We start from the raw sequence: 26,157 nt of genomic DNA, 5'->3' as shown, positions 1-26,157 counted from the left end.
TCAGTCCTATGGGGCACAGATGCCGCCTGGGCTTTCTAGGGCCGGCCAGTGGTCCTGGGGTGGTGGCCCCCGTTGCCCCAGGCCCAGTCTGCCTCAGTTTTATCCTCAGTCCCCACTGGCCCCTGACCTGTGCAGATTCCAGTAAGTGAGCGAGGCTGTCAGAGCCCTCCCAGGCTGGGGGAGATGGCCCAGCCCCACATGGTGCCTGCACCTCCGAGGTGGCCCCCTTGGAACCCAGCCCTGAGCAGGCGGGAGCGGCGGCCACACAGCGGCCCTGGGCAGGCGGGAGCGGCAGCCACACAGCGGCCCTGGGCAGGCGGGAGCGGCGGCCACACAGCGGCCCTGGGCAGGCGGAGGGGTGGCCACACAGCGGCCCTGGGCAGGCGGGAGCGGCGGCCACACAGCAGCACAGACCCTGAGCCGGCGCAGTTCCTCCAGCCACGCCAGCTACACCTTGGCTGTGTCCCTGCCGGGCTCCAAACACCTGTGTCCGTGCCACTGGCCACCTCTTCCCTGCCGTGTCACCCCCACCCCTGCCAAGTGTTCTGTGTGTTTTCACTGCAGGTGATGTGGGAAAGGGCGAGTCTCAGTTCAACGTTCTGGTTCCTTGGGGGCTGTCGGAACAATCGTGTGTTCTTTCCAGAGTTTTCTCTGTCTGGGTTTAGATGCCCACACACGGGACCATGTATTCAATCCCTGTGCATATAGATGGTGCCATATACGGAGAGAGGCATAGGTTGTCTTACGAGAGTGGGGTCGCGTTGCACTGTGGCCCCTGCCAGGCCCTGTCCGGAGTGCTGAACACAGAGCAGCAGGTGCCGCCGGTCCCCAGCCTCTTGGAGCCCCGTTCCCTCTGGGCGTCGTAGACAGTCGAGTTCAGCACATCTCTACGTGGAGTTTCGCAAAAAAGGCAACCACTTTGAAATGGGAGGGCCGCAGCGCCATGGCCTGGCGACGCCTGTGAGTGACTACAGTGGGGCCTGGAGGAGGAGCAGGGGGATGAATGCAGCCTTGGGGCAGGCGCTGGGGCCTGGAGGAGGCTTGGGGAGCAGGGCATGGGGGGCGGGGAGCGAGTGCAGCCTTGGGGCAGGCGCTGGGGCCTGGGCCTGGCTGGGCCCCTCTATGCCTTTCAGTCTTGAGGTCTGGAAACCCGGCCGGGATCTCCCCCGAGTGGGCAGTGCTGTTGGTGGCGGCGGGGGGGAGTGGTGCTGGCACTGTGTGGCCGGGCAGAGCCGAGGCCAAAGCAGTTCCATCCACACGCAGTCCACGAAGGGACGTCGGGCGCCTCCCACAAGCAAAGGCCCCGCCCGGCTCCAGCCCGGCCCGCAGGGACGACCTTGCCCTTCTTTCCTCCCTGGCCAACAGCACCACCCCGTGGGGGCCCCGGTGCTGAGGGCTCAGGCTGCCTGTTTCCGTCCTGGAAACCACAGACACCCGAGATCCAAGCAAGGAAGGCAGGATTTCCATACCTCCTCCCCAGCTGAGCATTCGCTGGAGGGGGACGGGGCTGTCACTACGTCCCTTATGATGATCACCTCATAGAGGCTGGGCCTCCCCACACCAGGACCACACGCCCATGAGGGCCCCACAGGCCTCAGCCTAGAGAGCCCCCATGGGAAACCCTGTGCTGTGAATGGTGTGGAAATTCCCCTGTGTCCTTCCCACGTGACCCCACAAAACCCTCAGCCGTGGACATCCCGAGTTCCTCTGAACGCCCGGCCTTCCCAAGCCTCGCCAGCGCCACGGACATCCCGGGGCCCCGGGGAAGGGTGGCTCTGCCGGGAGACAGGGTCTTCTCTCTGGCTCTGGTTCTGAAGGCTGTGGTGGGTGCAAGGTTCACCAGAGACGGCAGGACTCCCGTGCCCTGGAGCGGGAGGGAGTCTCTCCTGTGTCTCCCCTGGGCGCCGGCTCCTGCTGAACCCCAGACCCAGCTGTGGGAGAAAGCTGCCCAGGGCCCTGCAGGAGAGGCGGGGCCAGCCCTGGTGCACACAGGGGCAGAGGCACCTGGGCTGGTCTGGGCTGGGAGGTCAACTCTCCGTGTTGCAATGCTGTGTCCAGGTCTGAAAAGGGCAATGTGAAAGCAACTCCTCAGGGACAGAAGCCAGGCCACTCTGGGGAGAGGCAGGACACAGCCCTTCTGGCCCTGAACACCTTGAGGGGCAGGCAGGGGGTGATGACCCCACTCTACAGATGGGAGCACCGAGGTGCCCAAGGCAGGGGGTGAGGACCCCACTCTACAGATGGGAGCAGTGAGGTCCCCAAGGTGGGGGTGATGACCATATTCTCCAGATGGGAGCACCGAGGTCTCTGAGGCAGGGGGTGATGACCCCACTCTACAGATGGGTGCATTGAGGTCCCTCAGGCAAGAGTGATGACCCCACTCTACAGATGGGAGCACCGAGGTGCCCGAGGCAGGGGGCGAGGACCCCACTCTACAGATGGGAGCACCGAGGTTCCCAAGGCAGGGGGTGAGGACCCCACTCTACAGATGGGAGCAGTGAGGTCCCCAAGGTGGGGGTGATGACCATATTCTCCAGATGGGAGCACCGAGGTCTCTGAGGCAGGGGGTGATGACCCCACTCTACAGATGGGTGCATTGAGGTCCCTCAGGCAAGAGTGATGACCCCACTCTACAGATGGGAGCACCGAGGTGCCCGAGGCAGGGGGCGAGGACCCCACTCTACAGATGGAAGCACTGAGGTCCCCGAGGTGGGGGTGATGACCGTATTCTCCAGATGGGAGCACTGAGGTCTTTGAGGCAGGGAGTGAGGACCCCACTCTACAGATGGTTGCACTGAGGTCCCTCAAGCAAGAATGATGACCCCACTCTACAGATGGGAGCACCAAGGTCCCCAAGGCAGGGGGCGATGGGAGCACCAAGGTGCCTGAGACATGAGTGATGACCCCACTCCACAGATGGGAGCACCGAGGTCCCTCTGTGGGCAGCTTGGGGCCAGGCACAGGACTGGCAGAGGCTGGGAGCACAGCTTGTCGGGGCATCTGCGGGTGTGAGGGCCTGACACTGTCTTCAGGGCTTAGCCTTTGTTCTCCCTGCAAGAGGGGACAGAATGCCCTTTGTCTTTGTAAATCTATGCCCTGCTTTAGGCAAAAAGAGGAATCCGGAGAGCACTCCTGGACCTGTTTCTTCTTAATCGTCTTCATCTCAAAGGCCCTTCCTGTTTTGGGGAGTCACACACACTCTTCTGACACTGACGACCTGGAGTGTCACAGACCCTGAAGGTGAAGGGCTCTGTCCCACAAGACTCTGCCCCTACTTCTGATGACAGCCGTACATGGGTACCCAGGCAACCCACACTCACTCCTGACAACTGCAGATTTGGGGAACTTTACATCCCCTCAGATTCACTAGAACACCTCCCAGGGCTCAGGAAAGTGCTTTACGTACAATCATGCTTATTATGAAGGAAACCCATGAACAGCTCAGTGAAGAGAGTGGGGAGGTGGGCACTGATCTCTGAGCACCGTGGGGGCTCCCCAGCCTGGGGGCTCCCCAACCCTGATGCCCAAAAGTTTTTATCTAGGCCTCATTACACAGGTATGATTGATTAAGTCATTGGTCATTGGTGATTGAACACAAACTCAATCTCTGGCCCCTCCCAGGAGTGGGGGCGGTGAGGGGGGCTGGAAGTTCCTCTCTAATTACATGGTTGGTTCCTCTGGCAACAAGCTCCCACCCTAAAGCTACCTTGGGGTCCCCCAAGAGTCACCTCATTAGGGTAAACAAATGTGGTGAAAAAGAGTTGTTATGAAATCAGACACCCCTATCAGGAAATTCCAAAGATTTAAGGAGTTCTGTCCCTGGAACAGGGGACAAAGACCAGATGTATTTTTTATTATACCACAATACAAATCTCTTAATTTATTCAGGTCTCCTTCGATTTATCTCAGTAGCGTTTTGTAGTTTTAGGTGATAAGCTCATGCACACTGAGATTCAAAGGGGTCTGTTGGAGCGTTCAGCAATTCATGAACTGAGCAGTACCAGAACGTGTGAGGTTCAGCGTGAGGTTCAGCGCTCCACTGAGGTTGAGGGGCGGAGCTCTTTTCTAAGTGTCTGCAGAAGCGGGACAAAGACAAGACATCTGGTTAAAAGGAAGTCCCTGGTGAGAGGCTGGTTTGGCAGTTTCTGGGCAGTGTCAGTTTCGTGGCCCAGTTCCCAGTGGGCTTCGGTGTGCTCACACAGGGTCCCAGGCACTGAAGCCGCCTCAGCCCAGGGCCTCCTGGTTAACTTTCTCATGTAGCTTTCCGAGTATATGTCCACCACTTGTTTTGGTCAAAGCCACTCATAAGTAATTTAACATTTTTGATGTCAAGAACAATAAATAGAAGTTTCCTCTTTGTGCCTCCCCAGTCACTGGGCTTCAGTCCCAGGAGGCAGGTGCCAGGCAGACGTTGGTCCCTTCTGCTAGTTTTGCCTGGTCTTGAACCGGTGCTGTGGGCTCTTCTGGGGCTGGTTCCTTTCATGCTGAGTCATGTCTATGTGACTCCTCAGTAGTTAGTTTTTTAAAAAATTGCCAGATATAAATGTGTGCTCAGGCAGGTTTTTGAGAACTCCACACCATCTCTTGGGAACGATGAGAAGTCCCCTGAGTCCCTGTGGCAGGACGTGGGCTTTTCATGGGTCAGCCTGAGCCCCGCTCCATGGCCCCGATGGGCGCTGGGGCAGCACCCTGGCTGGACATGGGCTCCTAGAGAGGGCAGTCAGTGCTCGGCAGGCCAGAATCATGGAGGAGGGGTCGGGAAAGCACTGCTGACCCCCAATCCCATGGATATGCTGTCATCCTCCCAATGGCCTGGCTGATGGGCCATGGTGGGTGTGGACCCCTGAGTGAGTGTCTGGGGGGAAGTGTCACGGGGTCAGCCTGTGTGCTTCCTGGGCTCCTTGTCTACATGGCTGCGCATCTGCTTGGCTGTGTGTCCGGGACCTGCTTGTGTCCACTACAGGCCTGGGCCCAAGGAATCTCGGGAGGTGGAAATGGACACCCGGGGCCGCAGAAGCTGCACAGGTGGGGCCAAGAACCAACCAAGCCTTGCTGCCAGCTCCCCGCTCCACCCACTGTGATGCCAGCTGCTTCTCACATCTGTGAAGCCTCACCCAGCCTTGGGCCATCATTTCAGGTAAATAAAAAGGCCTAATGGCCCCATCAGGCCCTGAGCTCCCTGCTTCCTGAGGAGCTGTCTTCTGCTGGAACTTGGAGGCCACGTGGGCAGAATGAAACTCCTGCTTCCGACAGCAGACGGCAGCAGTGACCTACTCCTGGCTGCCCTGCCCATCTGGAGCGGGTTCTGGGTCTTTTGGGCCCTTTGAGGTTGGTCCGCCCTCCTGCCCTGGCAGCAGCCAGTATTTTACTCCCAGTTGCTCCAGCCTCCCCCAACCCCCTTCCCCGTAAGTAACCTGCCCCGACGCTTGTCCTGGAGCCACGGTGTGGAAGATTCCAGCAGCATTGAGGAACCAAATTTTATATACAGCGTTTCCTCCAAGCACGCAGCTCTGATGTGCCTTTTCCAGGGCCAAAGGCCCCTTCAGGAATCTTCAGGCTTCCCGCTCCACCTCACCTTCTGTAGTGCTGCCAGGCTGACGACAGCCCCCGGGTCTGTGGCTGGCCCCTCTCTCCCAGAGCATCTTGGCCTGCAGTGCTGGCCACAGCCAGAGAGAGGGAAGAGACAGCCCCAGCAGTAACCACGGGTGCCTTCGGCCCACGCACCTGCCGGTCGGCCCCAAGGGTGCCAGGCCTTCCTCTCCTATCGCCGCTGTGGGGCTCCAAAGGGCAGCCAGGAGCCCCAGCTCTGCTGTGGCTTTGCTGTTCCCCAACTGTGAGACCCTCAGAGAGCTGCCGGGCGCAGGTTTCCTCCTCGGCCAGCGAGCAGTCAGACCAGGCTTCGGACCCCTCTACTGTTCCAGGGTGGAGGGGAGGACCCAGGAGACCCAATGGCCTGGATGCCAACAGCCAGCGTGGCCTGACGATGCCATAGGGCACAGGGACAGGCTCTCCGTCCTCTGCGGCCCCGTTCTGCTCCCACCCCAGTGCCCTCCTTTCACCCTGGGGTCCTCCCTGGACCAGCAGCTGCCACCCACAGCACACTGGGATATTTGTGCTGGCCTAGCTACTACCTGACACAGCTGACCACCTCACCCGGCTGACGACCCACACAGCCTCCTGGCCTGGGTCCTCCTGCGCCAGCATTGTGTGTCAAGTGTGTGTGTGGCTGGCATTCCTGTGTGCCGCGTGCAGAGCCTGCAGGACGCCCTTCAGTTCCCAGGATGCCCCACCACAGAGGGGGACTGGTCCCCCCGAGGGTCCTGGGAAACCCTGTTCCAACCACATGCCACATAGGTCCTGTTACGTGAGTTAGAGGGGTGCGTGTGCTTCTCAAGATGAGCTTTCATCAAGTTCTTCCTCCACGCGACGTTGGTCCAATTGGCCGGTGGGGAGTACAGTGCTAGGTGAGGGTCTCCGCTGGGGAGCTTGACACAGCGGGGCGCAAATAAAGCCGTCACCAATCCAAACCCGTTCTGCACTGATACCTCGTACAATAGCAATAAAAATGTGTCAGCAAGAACGCCAAATTCGGTTAGCGTTTTAAACGCGGCATTCACTCACGGTGAACGGGCAGCGGTGGGTTTACTGCCCTGCACTCCAGCCCACAGTGCGGTGAACTGGACCCTAAATCACAGTGAACGGGCGGCGGTGGGTTTACTGCCCTGCACTCCAGCCCACAGAGCACTGGACTCTAAACATGCACTGACCTCAAGGTGGTTCCCCTGGCTGACCTCCTGTCACATGGCCTGGATAAGACTGGCAATGGCCAGATCTTGTCACAATCTGAACAAAAGGGTCAATATGTAGAGAAACAGACTGACGATTCGACGCCTCCCAAGGGAGGAACAAAATGAGCTACATTTTCGTTTACTAGAGCACAGTATTAAGGGCCTTGACTTGGGAGTAGCTCAGATGAAGACTTGGTTTGTTTTTCTTTCCTTTCTTTCTTTCTTTCTTTCTTTCTTTCTTTCTTTCTTTCTTTCTTTCTTTCTTTCTTTCTTTCTTCTTTCTTTCTTTCTCTCTCTCTCTCTCTCTTTCTTTCTTTCTTTCTTTCTTTCTTTCTTTCTTTCTCAGATTCTCGCTCTGTCGCCCAGGCTGAGTGCAGTGGCGCAGTCTCGGCTCACTGCAATCTCTGCCTCCAGGGTTCACGCCATTCTCCTGCCTCAGCCTCCTGAGTAGCTGGGACTGCAGGGGCCCACCATCACACCTGACTAGTTTTTTGTATTTTTAGTAGAGATGGGGTTTCTCCATGTTAGCCAGGATGGTCTCTATCTCCTGACCTCGTGATCCGCCTGTCTTGGCCTCTTAAAGTGCTGGGAGAAGACCTGATGGTTTCAGTGGACCACAAGCCATGTGGTGTGGCCTGGGAGAGGGCACAAAGTAACCTGCCTGCTGTTCCCGGGAAGATGCCTCATCACACATCCGAGGGCCCATGAAACCCGGAACGGCCCACGCACAACTGGAGAGCCTGACACACACCTGGAGGGTCCTTCGCACACCTGCAGAGCCCGTCACACACCTGGAGGGCCCGTCACACACCTGGAGGACTCATCACACACCTGGAGGACTTGTCACACCTGGAGGATCCATCACACACCTGGAGGACTTGTCACACACCTGGAGGGCCCATCACACACCTGGAGGACTTGTCACACACCTGGAGGGCCCATCACACACCTGGAGGACTTGTCACACACCTGGAGGGCCCATCACACACCTGGAGGACTTGTCACACCTGGAGGATCCATCACACACCTGGAGGACTTGTCACACACCTGGAGGGCCCATCACACACCTGGAGGACTTGTCACACACCTGGAGGGCCCATCACACACCTGGAGGACTTGTCACACACCTGGAGGGCCCATCACACACCTGGAGGACTTGTCACACACCTGGAGGGCCCATCACACACCTGGAGGACTTGTCACACCTGGAGGATCCATCACACACCTGGAGGACTTGTCACACACCTGGAGGGCCCATCACACACCTGGAGGACTTGTCACACACCTGCAGAGCCCGTCACACACCTGGAGGGTCCAGCACACACCTGCAGGACTCATCACACACCTGGAGGGCCCGTCACACACCTGGAGGGCCCATCACACACCTACAGGGCCGCAAGGGGAACATTTCCAAGGCCATTGTCAGTGCGGTGTAAGGAGGACCTTTCTCCCCATCGGAGCAGGTAACCCAGCAAGGAAGCCCATCCAGCAGCAACCTGCCCTGGCACCTGGTCCTGGCAGGCAGCAGGATGGCCTCAGCAGAGCCGGGATCAGAATGGGGTGGCAGGGGGGTGCAAGCCCACTGGAGGGGGTCCCGGCAGTGAGGTGACCCTGGACATGGGGAGCTGGGCAGCTTCTCTGCATCCATCTCCAGGTGACCTGGAGGGGTCTGGAGCATCAGGGGAGGGGAAGGCAGCCTCCAGGACAAGATGAGCCCTGCCACCTGAGGGGCTTGTGTCTGGAGAAGGTTTCCAGCAGGAGGGGAGCAAGGTCACAACCTGGGGAGGGATCCATCCCGGGGTGACTGGGGTCTGTGAGGCCTTGGGGTGACCTGCAGCGTGCGTCTTGGGATGCACTTGTACCGCATTCCTTCCTGTCGGGATACTGAAGGTCCCGAGCCAGAGGAGAGGAGAGGCAGAGCAGCCCGTCAGTGATGACCAAACCTGCCCACGATGAGTGTGTGGAGGAGGCGCGCTCGTGGAGATGTGCCAGCCGGGTGCAGGGACTGCGGGCATTTGCTGAGAGCCTCCTCCACCAGGTGTTTCCATGGAATGTCTGGTAGGGCTCCCACCAGCCCTGGCCACAGGCCCTGCTGCCTTCCCTCACGTTGCAAGGGGCCATGCCTGACACTCGTCATCACCCACCAACAGAGCGTAAGCCAAAAATAAAACACTAAGGTTCCCAACCATCTGAGTGGACCTCGTCCTCACCAGAGCCCTCTTAAAATGTAACCCGAGAGGTGGTTTCCAGCCATGACGGGAACGGGGGTCAGACATGCCTCGTTCTACCTTTCCAGCATTAACGTCCACACAGACCTGAAGTCTGATGAGAAACATTTCACAGCCCTCTGAAGCTGCTACCTGAAGGCCTCCTCCACAAATAAGAACCTGGGTTTCCAGGATCCTGGATCTGAACTCAGGCATTCCTTTCTATTATTGATCCCAGGTCTTTAGATAAATGTAACCAATTGTCCACCGGAAAGTTTTTAAATCTTCCTATAACCTGAGAGTTCTGCTCCCCTGACTGCTTTGCATTGCCCTGCCTTTCTGAGCCGAACCAGCATATTTCTTAAATGTATTGCCTGAAGTCTCATTCTCCCTAAAATGCATAAAAGCAAGCTACTCTCTGACCACCCTGGACACATGTCCTCAGGCCCTCCTGAGGGCTGGGTCATGGCCCACGGTCACTTGTCTTGGGCTCAGAATGAATCTCCCCACATTTTACAGAGTTTGACTCTTTGTTGACAGGAGCCAACGCTGCTGTCTGACCCCGGCCCGGAGCTCTCCCCGAGCTCTCCTGTGGGAGGCAGCCATTTGCAGAAATGGAGCCGAGCCTCAGTGGGACTGTCAGGGCCCAGGGACCCGAGGGGCCAGCGCTCCCTGAGGGCAGGGCTCAGCATCCACCAAGCGGGCCTTAGAGAGCCATGGCCGCCGGCCATCTGCAGTGCTCGTGAGGGGCACTGACTGCTCCCACCTGGCTCCCACCTCACCTCCGGCGGGCACTGGGGCGCTGTGCCTTTCTCAGAGGCATCAGGGAGTCCAAGGAGACGCCAGAGGACCTGTGTCCCATCCTCAAGGTAAAGGGCACAGTAACTGGCTGACCGATCACCAACAGGCCGCCTCCGCTGCCTGGAGCCCGCTGGCCCAGGGGTTCCTACCGCGCCCTGCCGTCTCCCTCATCCTCCCTCACTGCATCCAGACACCCAGTCCCCTGGTTGCCCGTGCCCGCGTCAGCTCTGGCCATCCTTGTCCTGGGGGCTGGGCATGGATTTTGCTGTCTCGTGTTCTCAGGACTGTATGAAGTCCAGCCCATTTGGCAAGCATCCTGTGGAGGTAAGGCTGTCTCTCAGTGGCTCCTGAGCTGATGTGTCCAACTACAGGTCCAGGTGGTGTCTGCCGAGTCTCCTGGTCAAATCGCCGTCCTTCCTCTGTAGGGGATAATCGTCCTGGAGACACTGGGAGACCAAATCCTGATTCTCCTGGAACTTCTCTGATTTTGGCATCCATGGGGGTCTTGTCAGCAGCAATCAGTTCCGTGGACTTTGACTCGTGGTGATTTTCTGTTTCCCCATTTCCTCAGGCATTTATCCATCGAGGTTCTCCTGCAGGGAAGAGCAGTGGGTCCCTCCTCCCGGGCTGCGTGTTGACCCGGCCAGTGGCGACAGCAGCAGAACTCATATGCGTCTATTGTATTCTGTGGTTTGTGAAAAGTGTAGGTCAGTGACCACAGTAGTGGATTCTGTGGTTTGCAATCAGCACGGCCTCTGTGCGTTTTGTTGCTCATGCCACCATGATCGGCCTTTGGCAGCTCTTCATGTTGGCCCCTGTGACCTTCACAAGCTCTTACTTTTTAATTAATTAAATCTGGGGGTGAGCCTCCGGCTCTGGGCTCCACAGGACTTCAGCTCATTGCAAACTTCCCTGCTCTGGAGGAGCAATGAGTCAGCCGCCGGCAAGGACAGCCCATTTGGAGGTAAAGTGCTAAGGGGAGAGGAAGGCGGTGAGAGTAAAGCAGTGGCAGGAACTGCTCAGAGGACAGGTGACATGCGGAGGCCTAGGGCAGACCTCGTCCAGGGCGCTGGGCAGGTCCAGGCAGGTCCTCCAGGCCAGGGACCCTGCGCAGCTGCCTTCTGGGTGGGGAGAGTGGGGGCAGCACCCAGGGTGCCTGGCGTGCTGTGCTGAAGGCCACCTGCGAGGCTGGAACTGTGTCTCCATCTGACAGGCAGAGAAACAGCAGCAGCCCAGCCTGGGAAACGATGTCAACAGCTCCTGTTTCCAGCACGTTCCTGGGTCTCAGACGCCCAGCCTCACACACAGAGTCCCAGAGACCAGGGTATCGAATGCCCAGCCTCACACATGGAGTCCCAGAGGAGATCAGGGTCTCGAACGCTCAGCCTCACACATGGAGTCCCAGAGACCAGGATCTCGAACGCTCAGCCTCACACATGGAGTCCCAGAGACCAGGGTCTCGAACGCTCAGCCTCACACATGGAGTCCCAGAGACCAGGGTCTCGAACGCTCAGCCTCACACACGGAGTCCCAGAGGAGACCAGGATCTCGAACGCTCAGCCTCACACATGGAGTCCCAGAGACCAGGGTCTCGAACGCTCAGCCTCACACATGGAGTCCCAGAGACCAGGGTCTCGAACGCTCAGCCTCACACACGGAGTCCCAGAGGAGACCAGGATCTCGAACGCTCAGCCTCACACATGGAGTCCCAGAGACCAGGGTCTCGAACGCTCAGCCTCACACACGGAGTCCCAGAGGAGACCAGGATCTCGAACGCTCAGCCTCACACATGGAGTCCCAGAGACCAGGGTCTCGAACGCTCAGCCTCACACATGGAGTCCCAGAGACCAGGGTCTCGAACGCTCAGCCTCACACACGGAGTCCCAGAGGAGACCAGGATCTCGAACGCTCAGCCTCACACATGGAGTCCCAGAGACCAGGGTCTCGAACGCTCAGCCTCACACATGGAGTCCCAGAGACCAGGGTCTCGAACGCTCAGCCTCACACACGGAGTCCCAGAGGAGACCAGGATCTCGAACGCTCAGCCTCACACATGGAGTCCCAGAGACCAGGGTCTCGAACGCTCAGCCTCACACATGGAGTCCCAGAGACCAGGGTCTCGAACGCTCAGCCTCACACACGGAGTCCCAGAGGAGACCAGGATCTCGAACGCTCAGCCTCACACATGGAGTCCCAGAGACCAGGGTCTCGAACGCTCAGCCTCACACACGGAGTCCCAGAGGAGACCAGGATCTCGAACGCTCAGCCTCACACATGGAGTCCCAGAGACCAGGGTCTCGAACGCTCAGCCTCACACATGGAGTCCCAGAGACCAGGGTCTCGAACGCTCAGCCTCACACATGGAGTCCCAGAGACCAGGGTCTCGAATGCCCAGCCTCACACATGGAGTCCTAGAGGAGACCAGGGTCCCAGACGCCCATCCTCACGCAGAGCCCCATAGGAAACCAGCACCTGCGTCTTCTGTCTGGGTGGCACAGGGAAAGTGCTTCCCCTGGGAATACTCGGCTGGCATCCACCCCGCCAGTGTGTGCTGCAGGCTGGCTCATCTGGGGGTGGGGGGCTTGGCGGCAGCACCGCAGGGTCTAGGGGAGCCCACCTGGCTCTGGCCTCCTGCTCTTCGCTTCCGGGGAAACGGCCCAGGCCCCTGCTGCACACTCTTCCTTCCCCTCTTCAGTAGTAAGAGGAGCCAAATGCGGCTGACGGTGCATCTGAGGCCGAGGCGCAGCCCCCGCCCCTGGGGTGGACTTTGGCCGCATGGGCAGGGCCAGGCAGGCAGGTAGCCTCTTGGGGCCTCTGAGGTGGCCCGAATGCCTCCCCTGATCACGGCTGCCACCCGGGCATCCTGGTCCCCCTGCGTCAGAGCCCACACACATGACAGACAGGAGGCTCTGGCTCAGATGAGGCCAGCGGCACTTCCTTTCATCCTGCCTGGCACCCGGTTTCTTGATGACCCAGGCCAGTGTTTTTCACGCTGAATCGTGTTTGACTTAGAAGCACATGGGATGATCCCTTTGGCCTTCCCAGCACCTCCTGAGAAGTATTGTCATCAGACCTGTGAGCATGAGATGGCGCTGGGCCCAGAGAGGTCAGTGCCCTGGCCCAGGATACACAGCGCACAGGAGGTCACTGGGAGCCTGAGTGACAACATCTCCAGGGCTGGACAGCCTCCCTGTCAGGGGTGAGAAACGGGTCTGTGCCCATTTCACGGCTAAGAACCTGGAGCAGGTCCCCCTTCAGCCCAAAGCCCAGGAGGAGGCGGCTGCTTATTGCAAAAGGTGTGAACCAGGCTGAGTGGTGCCGCCCTCCCCATCCACGTGGTCCCCATCTTTCCCATCCACGTGGTCTCTGTCCTCCCCATCAACGTGGTCCCCGTTCCCCCCGTCCAGGTGGCCCCCATCTTCCCAGTTGGGTGATCCCCGTGTTCCCCGTTGGGTGGTCTGCGTCCTCCCCATCGGGTGGTCTCTGTCCTCCCCATCGGGTGGTCTGCATCCTCCCCATCGGGTGGTCTCTGTCCTCCCCATCGGGTGGTCCCCTTCTGGCTCTGGGTTGCCTGCATCTTGCAGCTCCACACTCCGGAACATGTGGCTTCTGGCATCACCGGGGCGGGGGGAAGGGGCCAGCTGCAGCCCTTGGCTGGAACGTGTCAGGCAGCCAAGCCTATGTGCAAAGGGCCGGGACCTGAAGGAGTGAGAAGCCGGACGCTGTTGTCCCTGACCCTGAGCTGAGCAAGTTCCACTGAGGCCACAGAGATGAGTCCGACCTGAATTCTGCCCTCCCGGAGTTTACAACAGGGTGAAAGGCACCTGGCGGGTCTGGAATGCCAGCTTGGAAGGGATCGTGGGAGGAGCTGGCTGAGGAAACGTGGGCCTGGGGTGGGGGTGGCTGGGTTCCCAGGGAGGCCGCAGGTGCTGTGGTGTGCACAGCAGGGCCTGAGCCTCCTGGGGCCAGGAGGCTTCCTGGGCGTGAGGCCCAAGCTGAGTTTTCCATAGGGATTGAGAGTGAGTGAAGGCTGTTTGGAAGGACGTGCTGGGCAGTGGGAAGTTTGAGCAAAACCTGGAGACAGGAAAGAGCTGTGTGTTGAGAGAAGCTACAGCTGGTGCAGTGTTTCTGGAATGGAAAGTTCACGGCGGACGTGTGGAAGGGAGCGACTCCCAGTGGTGGGCACAGCAAGGGCCCCTCCCAAAGACGTCGGAGGCTGAACCCCCAGGACGCTTGAACAGGGCAACCTTGCAGGGGGAACTAGGTTAGGAATCCCAAGTCGGGAGATAGCCTTGGATTATTCGGTGGGTGCTCCTGGAGTTTAGGGAGGATGGAGAGGCTGCTGGACCCAGCGTAAGGTCTGGGCTCCTTAGAGGCAGGTGGGCGGGTCAAAGAGAGAGCAATTTGAAGATGCTGGGTTTGAAGATGGGCCGTGGGCCAAGGCTGCTGCCGTCTCTGGAGGCTGAGAAAAGAAAGCAGTGGCTTCTCCACCAGGCTCCTGCCAGCCCTGCCTTCAGCACCCTGAGGCCCTTTTCACACTTTCCCCTCCAGGACTGTAAGATAATACATTTGAGCTGTTGGAAGCCACTAGGTTTGTGGTAATCTGTTAAAGCAGCAGATAGGAACCTCATAGACTCACTATTGAGAAAAGAAAAGCACTTTTATCTGAGGAGCAAGTCCTTTTAATTATTGGGTCCAGAGAGGCGTTCAGTTGAGGCCGCAACCACATCCCACTCCCCCTTTGAGCTGCATGTTCATCTTGTGAAAGGAAAATCATTCTCGGGACCCCAGATCGCTGAGCCTAAGAGAAAAGTCCAGCTGGGAACTGTGCCAGGCAAACCTGCCTCCCATTCTATTCCTGAGTAAGGGAACTACAAAGATTTTAAAAAGCTACACGCCTGCCTCACGATTTGCCCACAAAGAAATTCCTTGTGGACAAAGCACAGACAGAACTCAAAGTCACCCCACTGCTCCCGTGAGACAAACGCACACAGCTGATCACTTCCTCTGCCCTCATTTCACTGAGCCAGACTCAGGCATGAGTGACCATTCCTGTAAATTGTGCATTCCGTAAAAGGCTAATCAGAAACTCAGGAGTGCAACCGTTTGTCTCTTATCTACCTACGACCTGGAAGCCTCCTCCCTGCTTCCATCTGTCCCGCCTTTCCGGACCGAACCAGCGTTCATCCGATGTATGTTGATGTCTCATGTCTCCCTAAAATATGTAAAACCAAACTCTGCGCCGACCACCTCAGGCATGTTGTCAGGACCTCCGGAGGCTGTGTCACAGGTGCGTCCTGAACTTTGGCAAAATAAACTTCCTAAATTGACTGAGCCTTATCTCAGACGCCTTTTGGTTTACAACGCTACTGAGATGTTCATCTCACCTGCAGCTGTGTATGAGAAGAGGTCGTGGCTGCATCTGGATTCGGAAAGACCCCAGTGCTAATGATTGTTACCATAACCAAGGGAAAGGACTCTAACCTGTGCGGGTTTACGGCTGCCTTCTCGGCAAGCTTGAGATTGTAGGAGCCATACGTGGCCACGATGTGGACTGCACTCTGGCTGGTGGCTGTGGCGTGACCACGGTCACTGCACAGTCACTTGGATCCCTGGGAGGAGAGTCCTGTAGCCTCGGACCGGGGATGCCACAGGCATGAACCCACCTTTGCAAAAATTATAACAGTGGAAAAATTATGGCAGTGAAAGAGACCCGAGGTAACCAACTCCCATCTTGCCTTTAGCCTTCAAACTGCCCTTAATTATTCCTGGGCTTGGGCCAAGCTAACTCTGGGAGACATTTAGTTTATAGCTTAAATGATAATAACCCTTCCGCAAAACTCAACAGCCTTTGTAAAGCTATTGAGAGACCACTAGGCTACGAGGACGAGAGGAGCCTGAATTCTGCTAAAATGGAGACACAAAGGATTACCCCCCTTTATTCTGGAGCTCAAAATATGCAACTTCCCAACTACTCCCGCAGATAACGTCACTACGGTGGAACCTAAGACTGGCCTTTGAGATGTCTTTTCAGGTTTTTTGCAAGTCTGACAACTGATTTCCCCCCCTGGACCGGTCAGCCTCCCTGGTGCCACCCAGAAGCGACTCGGGGCACAAGGACCATTTCCCACACCCCGACGACTGCACCCCCAACCAGTCAGCAGCAAGCGCCCTTGCCTACCCACCCGACTCTCTTCCCCTAAACTAGCCTTGAGAGACCCTGGTCTCTGCATTTTCAGGGAGGCTGATGTGAGTAACAATAAAACTCTAGTGTCCTGTTTAGCCGGCTCTGCGTGTGTAAAACTGTTTCTCTATTGCAGCTCTCGCCACTGGCCAGGAAACGGTTTCCCCCTCCTCGGGCTGTGCTGGGAGGAAGGGTCTGAAGTGGCTTGTAATGTCGGAAGCAAAGTGGAGGACTTGCCCGGAAGAGGGAGGAAGGCCTTGGCTCCTTTGAGCCAGTGGGAATGGAAGGGAAGGCGGCCAGGATTTCCTCAAAAATATTTCCCCATAGCCGGTCAGCTCCCCACGGGGCCAATACCGCATCCTCACTCTGGGCGCAAGGACGGCCCCTTCCCAGAGCCCATTTAGAACTTGGATGAATGTTCTATCAACACTCATGGATGTTGCCTGGATGAATGGGCTCTATCCGGGCCTTGAGTAGGAAGAAGCCGCTGGCAGTTACTTGCTCACCCAGAGACTCCAAGCAGCCACACTCACCTGGGCTGATGACTCAATTGACTCCTGAGTTTCTCCGGCTCTTCATTGAGGTCTGTCTTTTCCACCTCCATCTTTGAGCCTCTGAACTTGATGAAAATCGGTTACATGTAGATGGCTTTTCTGTCCAATGCTAGAGAACTTTGAACTTAATGGAATCCTGCCGTCTTTTCATCAACTCAGTGCTAAACAACTCTAGATTTTAAAATGATATCCAGTGTGACTGCGTCCATTTCACATGGCACAAGGATTGTCTGTGATCACGATTCATAAAGCTGCTATTTTTTAGCTGACACTAGGCCCAAGCATGGCCCCTGGGGGCACAGGGCTGTTTATTTCTCTTTTAAAGCACCCTAATCTGGGAGGTGTATTTTGCCGGTGGCTGGCGGGCTGGGAGCAGAGAAAAGTTCAGTGTAAAAATGAAAATGCATTCCCGGCAGGAAAACTCCCACCCTAAGGGCACGTATGCAGTTTACCCCAAAACAATGGTTGCCGTGGGTAACCCGAGTGGTGTTGCCAGTGGCTGCCAGTTTGGCCCTTCCAGGGAGATGTCAAGAGACCCCTTCTACCAATCCCTTTCCTCATTAAAGAGGAAGAATGTTTGCTTTCTGGGAGATATTTAAGAGGACAATTTGAAATCCCACAAAAGCCAGGGTTGGTAGAATCAGGACTTGGCTCAGCCCAGCTCAGCCCCGCAGCAGCTACCCCGGGCTCTGTTTGTCCTGGCTTCCACCAGGGCCAGCGCTTCACAGCCGGAAGCAAACAGGCCAAGCATTTCTTGGTTAATAGCACAAGGGGGCCAGGCTTGCTGGAGAAGCAGCGGTCAGGGCCAGGGGCCCCTAACCTCTGCAGTCGCCCCTCCCAGTGGCTTTCCAGAGCTGTTTTCCACCTCTCCCTGAGGAGCTGAAGGGCGCCGGGGGCCGAGTCACTGCCACAGCCGCAGGGACCAAGCCCCATCCCAGCAAGGCTGAGGCCTCAGGAAGGCGGCCAGCCCAGGCCCTCTCGCCACTGGCCAGGAAACTGTTCCCCCCCTCGGGCTGTGCTGGGAGGAAGGGTCTGAAGTGGCTTGTAACGTCGGAAGCAAAATGGAGAACTTGCCCAGAAGAGGGAGGAATGCCTTGGCTCCTTTGAGCCAGTGGGAATGGAAGGGAAGAAGGCCAGGATTTCCTCAAAAATATTTCCCTGTAGCCAGTCAGCTCCCCACAGGGCCAATACCTCGTCCTCACTCCGGGTGCAAGGACAGCCCCTTCCCAGAGCCCGTTTAGAACTTGCTTCTCTTCAGACTACATTCCCTCCTGGCTGGATTCTGGAGACCATAACTGGGGCACCTACCAAGTGGGGCCCGTTAGAGGTGCTGGCGGAGTTCCCGTGTGACCCCATCAGGGTGGCTCACAGCACATCTCCGCAGCGACACGCTCAGGTCTGGTTTTCCAGTGTGTATGCGTGGAGCCCAGCAGTGGGGCCCAGATGGCGTGGTGAGGATCACCACTGAAAGGCAGGCCTCGAGCACTTGCCCAGAGTCCACTGTTTGGAGGGCAGTTCGATTCACCGTAGCCAATTAGCCCACAGCACACACAATCTTTCTTTTCCCATTGAGTTGTCTTGGCACCTTGGTTGGAAAGTAATTTACCATGTATGTGTGGGTCTATTTCCTTTATTTGAAAGTGATTTTTAAAAGGAAAATTGCAAGACCCCTTCTTCTAATTGTGGCCCCACACCCTTGCCCATGCATCCGACTCATCTCCATCCATCCTGTGTGTCTGGTAGTTTCATAAAAAGTCAAACACATACCTGCCATTATGACCCAGCGATTGTACTCCTGGGCATTTATCGCAGAGAAATTAAAATGTATAGTCACACAAACGATCATAGCAGCTTTATTTGGAACAGCGAAAACCTGGGAACAGCCCCATTGTCTGTCAGCAGGTGCGTGTCCGACGCATCGTGGTGCCTCCACACCACACAACGTGCTCAGCAACGGAGAGAAACAGACTCTGGGAGAAAACTCCATCTCAAAGGCTGCATTCCGCACTCCGTTCCCATAACACTCTTGAAAGGATGAGTGACGCCGGCGGGTGCTGTGGGTTAGAGAAGGGCCCCGCGGGGCACACCTCACACCTGTGGGGATGGACGGTCATGCATCTCGAATGTGGTTGTGGTTACAGAAATCCACATATGCGGCCACACATCGCAGAATCTCCACACGGAGTCGTACCCAGAATAAAACAAACACACGGAAACCTAGGATGTCCAAATGAGCTCCGTCATCCAGTGACTTGCGTGGTGCCCATATCAGTTTCCTGGTTTTAAGAATTTGTTGTAGCTCTGCAAAGTGCTGCATTGTAGGAAGCTGAGGAATGGAATGTGGGACCCCTCTGTACTATTCGGCAACTTTTTGTGAAGCTATAATTAGCTCAAAATGCAAAGCTAAAATTACTGAGGACTTAGAAATAAACTTGACAAAAGATTTACAAGTCCTATATACTGAGAACTGAGAAACATCAATGAGAGGAATGAAAAAAGGCCTAAATAAATGGAGCCATAGCATGTTCATGGAAGATGCCAACTCTCCCCAGATTGATCTCCAGAATCAACACAATCCCAATCAGAATCCCAGCAGGATTTTTGTAGAAATTGGTAAGCTAATTCTAAGGTTTATACAGAAATGCACAGGACTTGGAGTAACCAAAGCAAGCATAAAAAAGAACAGAGTTGAAGAATTTATATTACTTGATTTTAATCAAGACAGTCAATATAATCATTATAACAGATAAATAGGTCAATGAGACAGAACAACACCCAGGCCTACTCATCTATGGCCACTACTCATTTATGGCCAATTGACTTTTGATAAATGTGCTGAGGCAATTCAACAGGGAGAGAATAACCTTTTCCACAAGGAATGCTGGGTCATTTGGACACCCATAAGCAACAAAATAAAACAATTACAAATCCTCAAAACCCTTACCTCACACCACATACAACAATTAACTTTGGGCTGGATGCAGTGGCTCACACCTGTAATCCCAGCACTTTGGGAAGCTGAGGCAGGTGGATCATTTGAGGTCAGGAGTTCAAGACCAGCCTGGGCAACATGGTGAAACTCTGTTTCTACTAAAAATACAAAAATTTTCTGGGCATGGTGGCATGTGCTTGTAATCCCAGCTACTCAGGAGACTGAGGCATGAAAATTGATTGAACCTGGGAAGTGGAGGTTACAGAGAGCCAAGACCACGCCACTGCACTCCAGTGTGGCTGACAGAGCGAGACTCCATCTCAAAAAAAAAAATTGTAATAGGTCATAAATCTAAATGTGTGAACTAAAACAGTAAAACTTGTAAGAAGAAGATAAGATAAAATCATGGTGACTTTTAGTTTGGGAAAGGTTTTTTAAATAGAACACAAAAAGTTCAAACTACATGAAAAAACCAATAAGCTAAATTTTATTAATTTAAAACTTTTGCCCTTTAAGAGACACTATAAAGAGGCAAGCTGCCAAGCTGGAGAAATTATTTGCAAACCATGTTCAAAAAGGACTTCTTTCTAAAACATGTCAAGAAGCCTTTCAACACAATAATGAGACAAAACAATTCAATTAAAAAGTAGGCAAAATATTTGAATGGATATTTCACCAAAGAAGCTATATTAACAGACAGAAGCACGCAAGACGATGCTGACAACCATTTAGTCCTTAGGGAAGTGCAAACGAAGACCAGTATGAGAGGTGCCTACAAACCCACCAGCATGGCTAACATGTTCAAAAGTGGCCCTGCCAAGGGCTGGCGAGGATGTGGGGCAACTGGAGCGCGCAGCATGTTGGCAGGATCATAACACAAGAACCACAGGGAACGGTTCGGCCATTTCTTAAAAAGCTACACAGAGTCACCATGTGACCCAGACATGTCTGTTCTGGGAACGTCCACAGAAAGACTGTGTCGTAAACGTTCACAACAACCTTGCCTGTAATCACCAAAATCCAAAACAACCTGAACGTCCTCCACGGGTCAGTGGATGAACCAATTATGATACACCCATGCAACTAGTGCTCCCCAGCATTGAAAGGATGAATTGTTGGATGAATCTCAAAATAATTACACTGTGAGACAATGTCAGGCAATAAGAGTATACACGCTGTGTTACCCAGGACAGAAATGAATTAATCTACAGTGACAGAAAGGTCAGTGTCATCAGAGGAGCAGGAGGGTGGAGGGACGGGGCAGGGGCCAGCCTGGGGGAGGGGATGTCCATGGTCTCGATTGTGGTCATGGCTCTGTGGGTGCAGCAGAATGTCAAAACTTATCAAACCGTACGTCTTAAATATGGGCATTTAATTGCATGTCAAAAAAATCTAAACAAAGCTGAAAATGGACAAAATACCACAACCAATGACATCTGACCGTAAAGAGATGGATTTAGGTAGAAGGAAGAATTCTTTAACACAGAATATGGGTCTCTGAGGGAAATGTTATCTCGTAATTTTCTCACTTTTGGTGTATTTAAGCTGTAGGACAAGGAGTGAACCCTAACATTTGGTGAGAGTCTGTGAAACACACTAGGAACCCCCATGCTGCTTGCGAGTTACTTCCGAGAAACAGCAGAATGTCACACCCTGTCACCCGCAGGTGCCGTCTGAGGGGCGCTCATCCCCACCAGCCCGAGGGCCTCCCCGCCAAGGGAGGGGTGTACTCCCTTCCACTTGGCGTCTGCTTGTGCATTGCCCCTCCCTGAACTCAAGACCTGAGCCTCTCTCGCCTGGACTATTTGGAAAGTCTACAAATGGAAGAAGGGGTGCTCTCACTGAGTTGTGTCCGCACAAGGGAAACTGTCCAGGAGCCACAGAAGCAACCGCAAAGTGAGCCTCTCAGACGTGGTTAAAGGGAAGCCAGGCAAAAAGACTGCACGCTGTTGGGTTTCATTTACTCAAAACCCTAAAACAGGCAGAATGAGTCATCTGTGGTAAACCAGCATTGGGGTTACCTCTGGGGGCCGGGAGGGAACCCTGGGGTGCCAGTCACGTCTGGCGTCTCGGCCTGGGTGGTGGGGATGGCTCGCCAAGCCTGTTTGTTGCACACGTGGCATGTCAGCAGAAACACGGGGCAAATACACACGTGAACACAAGAACCCCGGGTCCCTCCCTCATCTACCCAGCGACCCTCAGTCACCCCAGCCGGCTCCCTCTCGCCACCCACGGGCTTTCTGTGGAGGCCCCAGCCTGGCCCTGGAGGCCGTGACCCACCCCGCCTCTTGCCTGAGGTCAGCCCAAGAGACCTTCCTGTCTTCGGCCTGGAGAAGGAGCGGCCGCCAGGACCACCCGGGCCTCAGCTCCCTGGGAGGGCCCCTGGAGGACCGGGGCTGCTAAAGTCCACGGGCATCACCGCATCTAATCCAGGCCCTTTGATGTGGGTGATGTTGATACTCCCACTTTACAGGTGGGGAAACCAAGGCTTCAGCTTCCGTGGCCAGGGGATGAATGGGAGTGTGGTCTGGATGGTGGCTCCTGGACCGGAAGCATGATGGGAGCCATGAGGAATGCAGGTTCTTGGGTCCTTCCAGCTCTGCTGGATTGGATGCTCGTGGGGGCTCAGGGTCAACACAACCCCCCAGGACTCTGACCTGGGAAGTGGAGCAGCCTGATTTGGAGGCGAGGACACACCAGGAGGCACCTTGCCCTGTGGCCACTGCACTGAGGCTTGAGAGATCACTAGAGACAGCTCAGCCTCAGTGCTCCCGCGCCCCCGCCTCGGTGCTCCTGCGCCCCCGCCTCGGTGCTCCTGCGCCCCCGCCTCGGTGCTCCTGCGCCCCCACCTCGGTGCTCCTCCACTCCCACCCCGGTGCTCCTTCCACCTCTGCCTCACCCGATGGACTGTGCCTTTGCGTTTCTTGTGCACAAATCCTGCTGAAGTCTGGGCAGCTGTGTGTTTGATGATGGGCTTGTAGGAGAGAAGCATCTGGACTGCGCCGTGCAGATGGCGCTTCTCTCCAGGCACAGTCACATTCCTGGGAGGTTCCTGGAGGCCTCCGAGCCTCGTGCAGACCCAAGGCTGCCTCACCACCATGGCCACAGCCCAGTGCTGGCTGCCGGGCATCAAATCTGCAGAAATGCACGTGGCATAAAAGCACCAGAGACATCCGTCCAGAGCCGAGGGCTCCTCCCTGGCCCAACATTTTGTCCACGTAAGTCCACTTTTTGGCTGCTGCTCCCAGGCCTGGCAAGAACGCAGATCCCCACAGCCTCCTGCTCCCTGGCAGCCTGAGGACAGTGTCGTAGGCCTGGGATCCTCGGGCAGAACTGAATGCAGCTTTTCCATTGGAGGGCGCTGGGCCCACATGGCAATCACAGGTATGGCAGATGAACTCACGGGATGCTCCGGGACTCCAGGGGCCTCAGGAGAAAGGCCCACTGGCAGCGGGTTGCCCAGGGCTCCAGAGGGGGGCTCCAATGTGAACCAGTTGCTTGTGGCACAGCGGGTCACCCAGGATGGCCCTGCGTGGTCAGTGATAACAGGCAGTCACTCACAGCGCGACTTCACCCATGGTCACTCCCGGTGACCAGCACTGCACAGCCTGGGCTTTCGTCCCACATGGCACCTCCCTGTCCAGCCTTGGCCCAAGTGCCTGGGAAACAGACAGGGCACCGTGTGCCTGAACACACTCGGACAGTCGAGGCCCCCAGGAGAAGCAACAGGCAATGACTCGGTCCCCAAGAAGCTGAGCCTGTCCTTGCTGGGGTCTGTCATCTCCTCTTAGCCCCGCCAGGCTCCTGAAGCTGCCACATGTGCAGCGGGAGGTGGGTGGTTTGGGAGCAGAGCGAGGCTCTGGATGGACGGGCTTTACCACCAGCAGCCACCACCACCTGCTCTGCAGGGCCTGGGCCAGCCCTGAGGAGGTGGCAGACGGAAGGAGGGGCAGCACTGCCTCAGGTCTCCTTTACTGTCTTCCAGACATCAGCTCAGGGAGAGTAGGCATGTAGCACTGAGAAACAGGGTTGCTCCCCATGGCTGCCTCTGCTTCCCTGCCGCACAGTGTCTGTACACGGCCTGGGGACCTGCGAGGCCAGACCGCAGGGCAGGGGCCCACGGCTGTGCCAGCTTCTCTCCCAGGCCGTGGCGGTTATTACCTCCTGACTTGGCAGAGCATCCGGCTACTGGAGCCCATTGGTTCCGGCCAGTGCAGTCAGGACTTAGCTTCCCAGCTGTGATCTAAATCCCAGCCTCCCAAAGGCACAGCGCCTAAGTTCTCCCCTGCCAAGCTCACAGCCTTCTCCTTGGCAGGCTGCCCTTTCTCCTGCTGGACCAAACCAAGGAGCACGGTGACCCAGGGACACCACACTCGGTGTCAGCCTCTGAGGCCATGGAGCCACGCAGACCCAGCACAGGATTAGAAACAGACCTTCCCGGGAGGCAGAGAGCCAGGCCTCCTGGTTTATAGCATGACAAGGCAGCACTCAGGAGGACGCATCAATCCTTCTCCATGTCAGCACCTGTGACTGTGACCACTGGTGAGGTGGACATGCTTCTTTTTCCATTTTACAGATGAGGAAACTGAGGCCAAGGGAGGGTCAGCAGCCTGCCCTGGGCTGACTGGTGATGCAGCGAGGGTGGGGTGTGGGAGGGTGGCGGCGGCCCTTGCAGTCCCTGGGAACCTGCACCTCTTCCTGGGCGCTGTTCCCCTCTCTCTCCCAGGACCCTTGGGCCTGGCGTTTCTTCACCTGCGACCATCCAGGAGCTGGACCTGCCCTAGGGCGTCAGTTTCCAGGGAAGCCTCTGGCCTGTGTGTGAGCCTCCCCACCTGCCCGGCCACGGCCTCCACAGGCGCCCTGCGCAGCCCCGCCCCTCCTGGGGCAAAGGCTTTGCGAAGACTTTCTTCTCTGGCTCATCCCTTTAAGGAGGCATAAAAACGAACCCCGGGCCTCACAGGTCCGGAATGCGCCCCCCTCCACGATGGGAGCTTCTTGGCCTTGGCTGTGCAGGGGCCGCGGCTCCTGGGGGTCTGGCCGGATCTGCAGTAGTGCTGAATGAGCTGTGGCCAGGAAGACGCAATGAATAATTGTCACTTAAAAGGATAAACAGAAATTCCATTTCCCTTTTAAATACTTGAACATTTCAAAACATCTGGAGGACGCGATGCTTTTCCTTCCAAGCATCTCCGTGGAGTTTTGTGGGTTACCGCAGAGGATCGGCAGCATTCCTCTCTCAGGGAAAACTGGCCTGAGCATTGCATAACGCAGGCAGACTGCACCCCTCACGTCGCCTGGGGCCACATGCACATGTTTCCAAGAGACTTGCTGGAGAATCTTCCCCGGATCTTGACAAAGTTGGACATGGAAAGCACGTTGGTCCATCCAAGGTCCACAGAGCGACCCTGGCTATGAAAAATCATCCTCCGAGTGGGAGTCTGTCTGCCAGGAGTGAGGTGACACCGCACATGGCCTCAGGAGCTGGAAACGCTGGTGAATTCAGATGCAGCCAAAGCTTCTAACTTAGTCACAGTTATTAATTATTCTTGGTCTTATTGGAGCAGGAACCACTGCCATGCATCAGGCCAGCAAGGCTCACTCCCCACCGTAGGATCCCTGTGTAGACGGTCGCTCCATCAGTGTAGTTGGGTGTGTGGAGCAAGGGACTGGGCTGACCCTACCTTCCAAGCATCGATGTGGCCTTCAGCAGAGCAGGAGGAGATAGCCCAGGACTTGTACTTTGCAGTTGAAGTGCCAGACCTAAGAAATGCAAACCTGAGGATGGAAAGAGGGTGGAGAGGGGGGAGGTGTCTGGATTGGCCGTCCAGAGCAGCCCCAGCTGCAGCAAGTGGAACTTGGCTGGCTGCCTCACAGGCCTGGTGGCAGCGTCCCCAGCGAGGAGCCTGTCCCACATATGAAGGTCCCCATACCCTTAGCCCCTAGCTGAGAGTTTCACTGACCAGAGCTCCCTGAGTCCAGGGCTCCACTCAAGGGACTGCTGTCCCCGTTGGTGAAGAAGGCCTGTTGGGGCCAATGCTTCCCCCCACAGGGAAGCGGAGCTGTATTTTGTCGGACAGAACTTTGCAAGCCTGAAACAGCTGGTGGTGGCCCCAGAGCCAAGATCTGACCTCACTCCAGAGTTGAAGGGCACAGAGAAGGCACAGCTAGAGGCGGCAGGTACCCCTCAAAGCTCTCGGGAGAGGGTACAAAGTGGGACCTCCCAGCACCCTTGGCCTCCAGGCCTCAAAAGCCCTGAGAGGGCTGCATGCAAGGAGACAAAGCTGGAGAAGGATGTGGGAGGCAGGTGGCTAAGAAGACAGGCTGGAAAGGGACGTGGGAGGTAGGTGGCTTTGCTCTAAACAGAATCGTCTCAGTAATGTGACACTGCACATGTATAGGTAGGCTCGCTCATGGGCATAACCCTCTAAAACACACCTTTTATGGAGTGAAATTCACTTAACAGCCATCTTGAAGCATATACTTCGGCGGCATTTGCTGGATTCACGACGTTGTGCAACCTCTGCTTCTCCAGTTTCAGAACATTTCATCCCTCCAGAACAACAGCTCATCCCCATTAAGTAATCACTCCTCATTCCTTCCCCATCCTCTGGAAACCACAGATCTGCTTTCTGTCTCTATGGATTTGTCCGTTTTGGATATTTCATATAAAAGGAATCACGCGGTGTGCGAA

General features: G+C 56.2%; 1 protein-coding gene and 1 long non-coding RNA gene across 6 annotated transcripts in view, besides 3 other annotated features; both read left to right on the top strand.

The window, feature by feature from the left end:
* The window catches only part of C13orf46 (chromosome 13 open reading frame 46), a 47,563-nt gene extending 21,406 nt beyond the window's left edge, over positions 1-26,157 (top strand). Inside the window, exons 2-4 of one of the 5 annotated variants that reach the window (XM_047429981.1) lie at positions 709-960; positions 3,106-5,025; positions 5,138-26,157. The gene's annotated coding sequence lies outside the window, so the exon portion shown is untranslated. Of the gene's footprint in view, positions 1-708 lie in introns of all 5 variants that reach the window. The other 4 variants (XM_047429983.1, XM_047429982.1, XM_047429984.1 and 1 more) reach the window with 4 other exon arrangements.
* Positions 15,696-16,177: an enhancer, noted in NCBI's record as "H3K4me1 hESC enhancer chr13:114639467-114639966 (GRCh37/hg19 assembly coordinates)". NCBI's record gives its function as "activates a minimal SCP1, AML or CMV promoter by ChIP-STARR-seq in primed H9 embryonic stem cells {active_cell/tissue: H9 hESC(primed)}" and the evidence as "EXISTENCE:reporter gene assay evidence [ECO:0000049][PMID:30033119]".
* Positions 16,178-16,679: an enhancer, noted in NCBI's record as "H3K4me1 hESC enhancer chr13:114638965-114639466 (GRCh37/hg19 assembly coordinates)". NCBI's record gives its function as "activates a minimal SCP1, AML or CMV promoter by ChIP-STARR-seq in naive H9 embryonic stem cells {active_cell/tissue: H9 hESC(naive)}" and the evidence as "EXISTENCE:reporter gene assay evidence [ECO:0000049][PMID:30033119]".
* Positions 21,665-21,734: an enhancer, noted in NCBI's record as "active region_8045". NCBI's record gives its function as "activates an Ori minimal core promoter by ATAC-STARR-seq in GM12878 lymphoblastoid cells {active_cell/tissue: GM12878}" and the evidence as "EXISTENCE:reporter gene assay evidence [ECO:0000049][PMID:35858748]".
* SWINGN (SWI/SNF complex interacting GAS6 enhancer non-coding RNA) lies at positions 23,680-26,157 on the top strand. The gene has a single exon (NR_047495.1). It is a non-coding gene; the product is annotated as an SWI/SNF complex interacting GAS6 enhancer non-coding RNA (long non-coding RNA).

The sequence above is a fragment of the Homo sapiens genome, chromosome 13 (genome assembly GCF_000001405.40).
Source record: "Homo sapiens chromosome 13, GRCh38.p14 Primary Assembly".
Classification (NCBI taxonomy): domain Eukaryota; kingdom Metazoa; phylum Chordata; class Mammalia; order Primates; family Hominidae; genus Homo; species Homo sapiens.
Note: the sequence above shows the minus strand (reverse complement) of the source record. Positions and strands in the feature narration are given on the sequence as shown.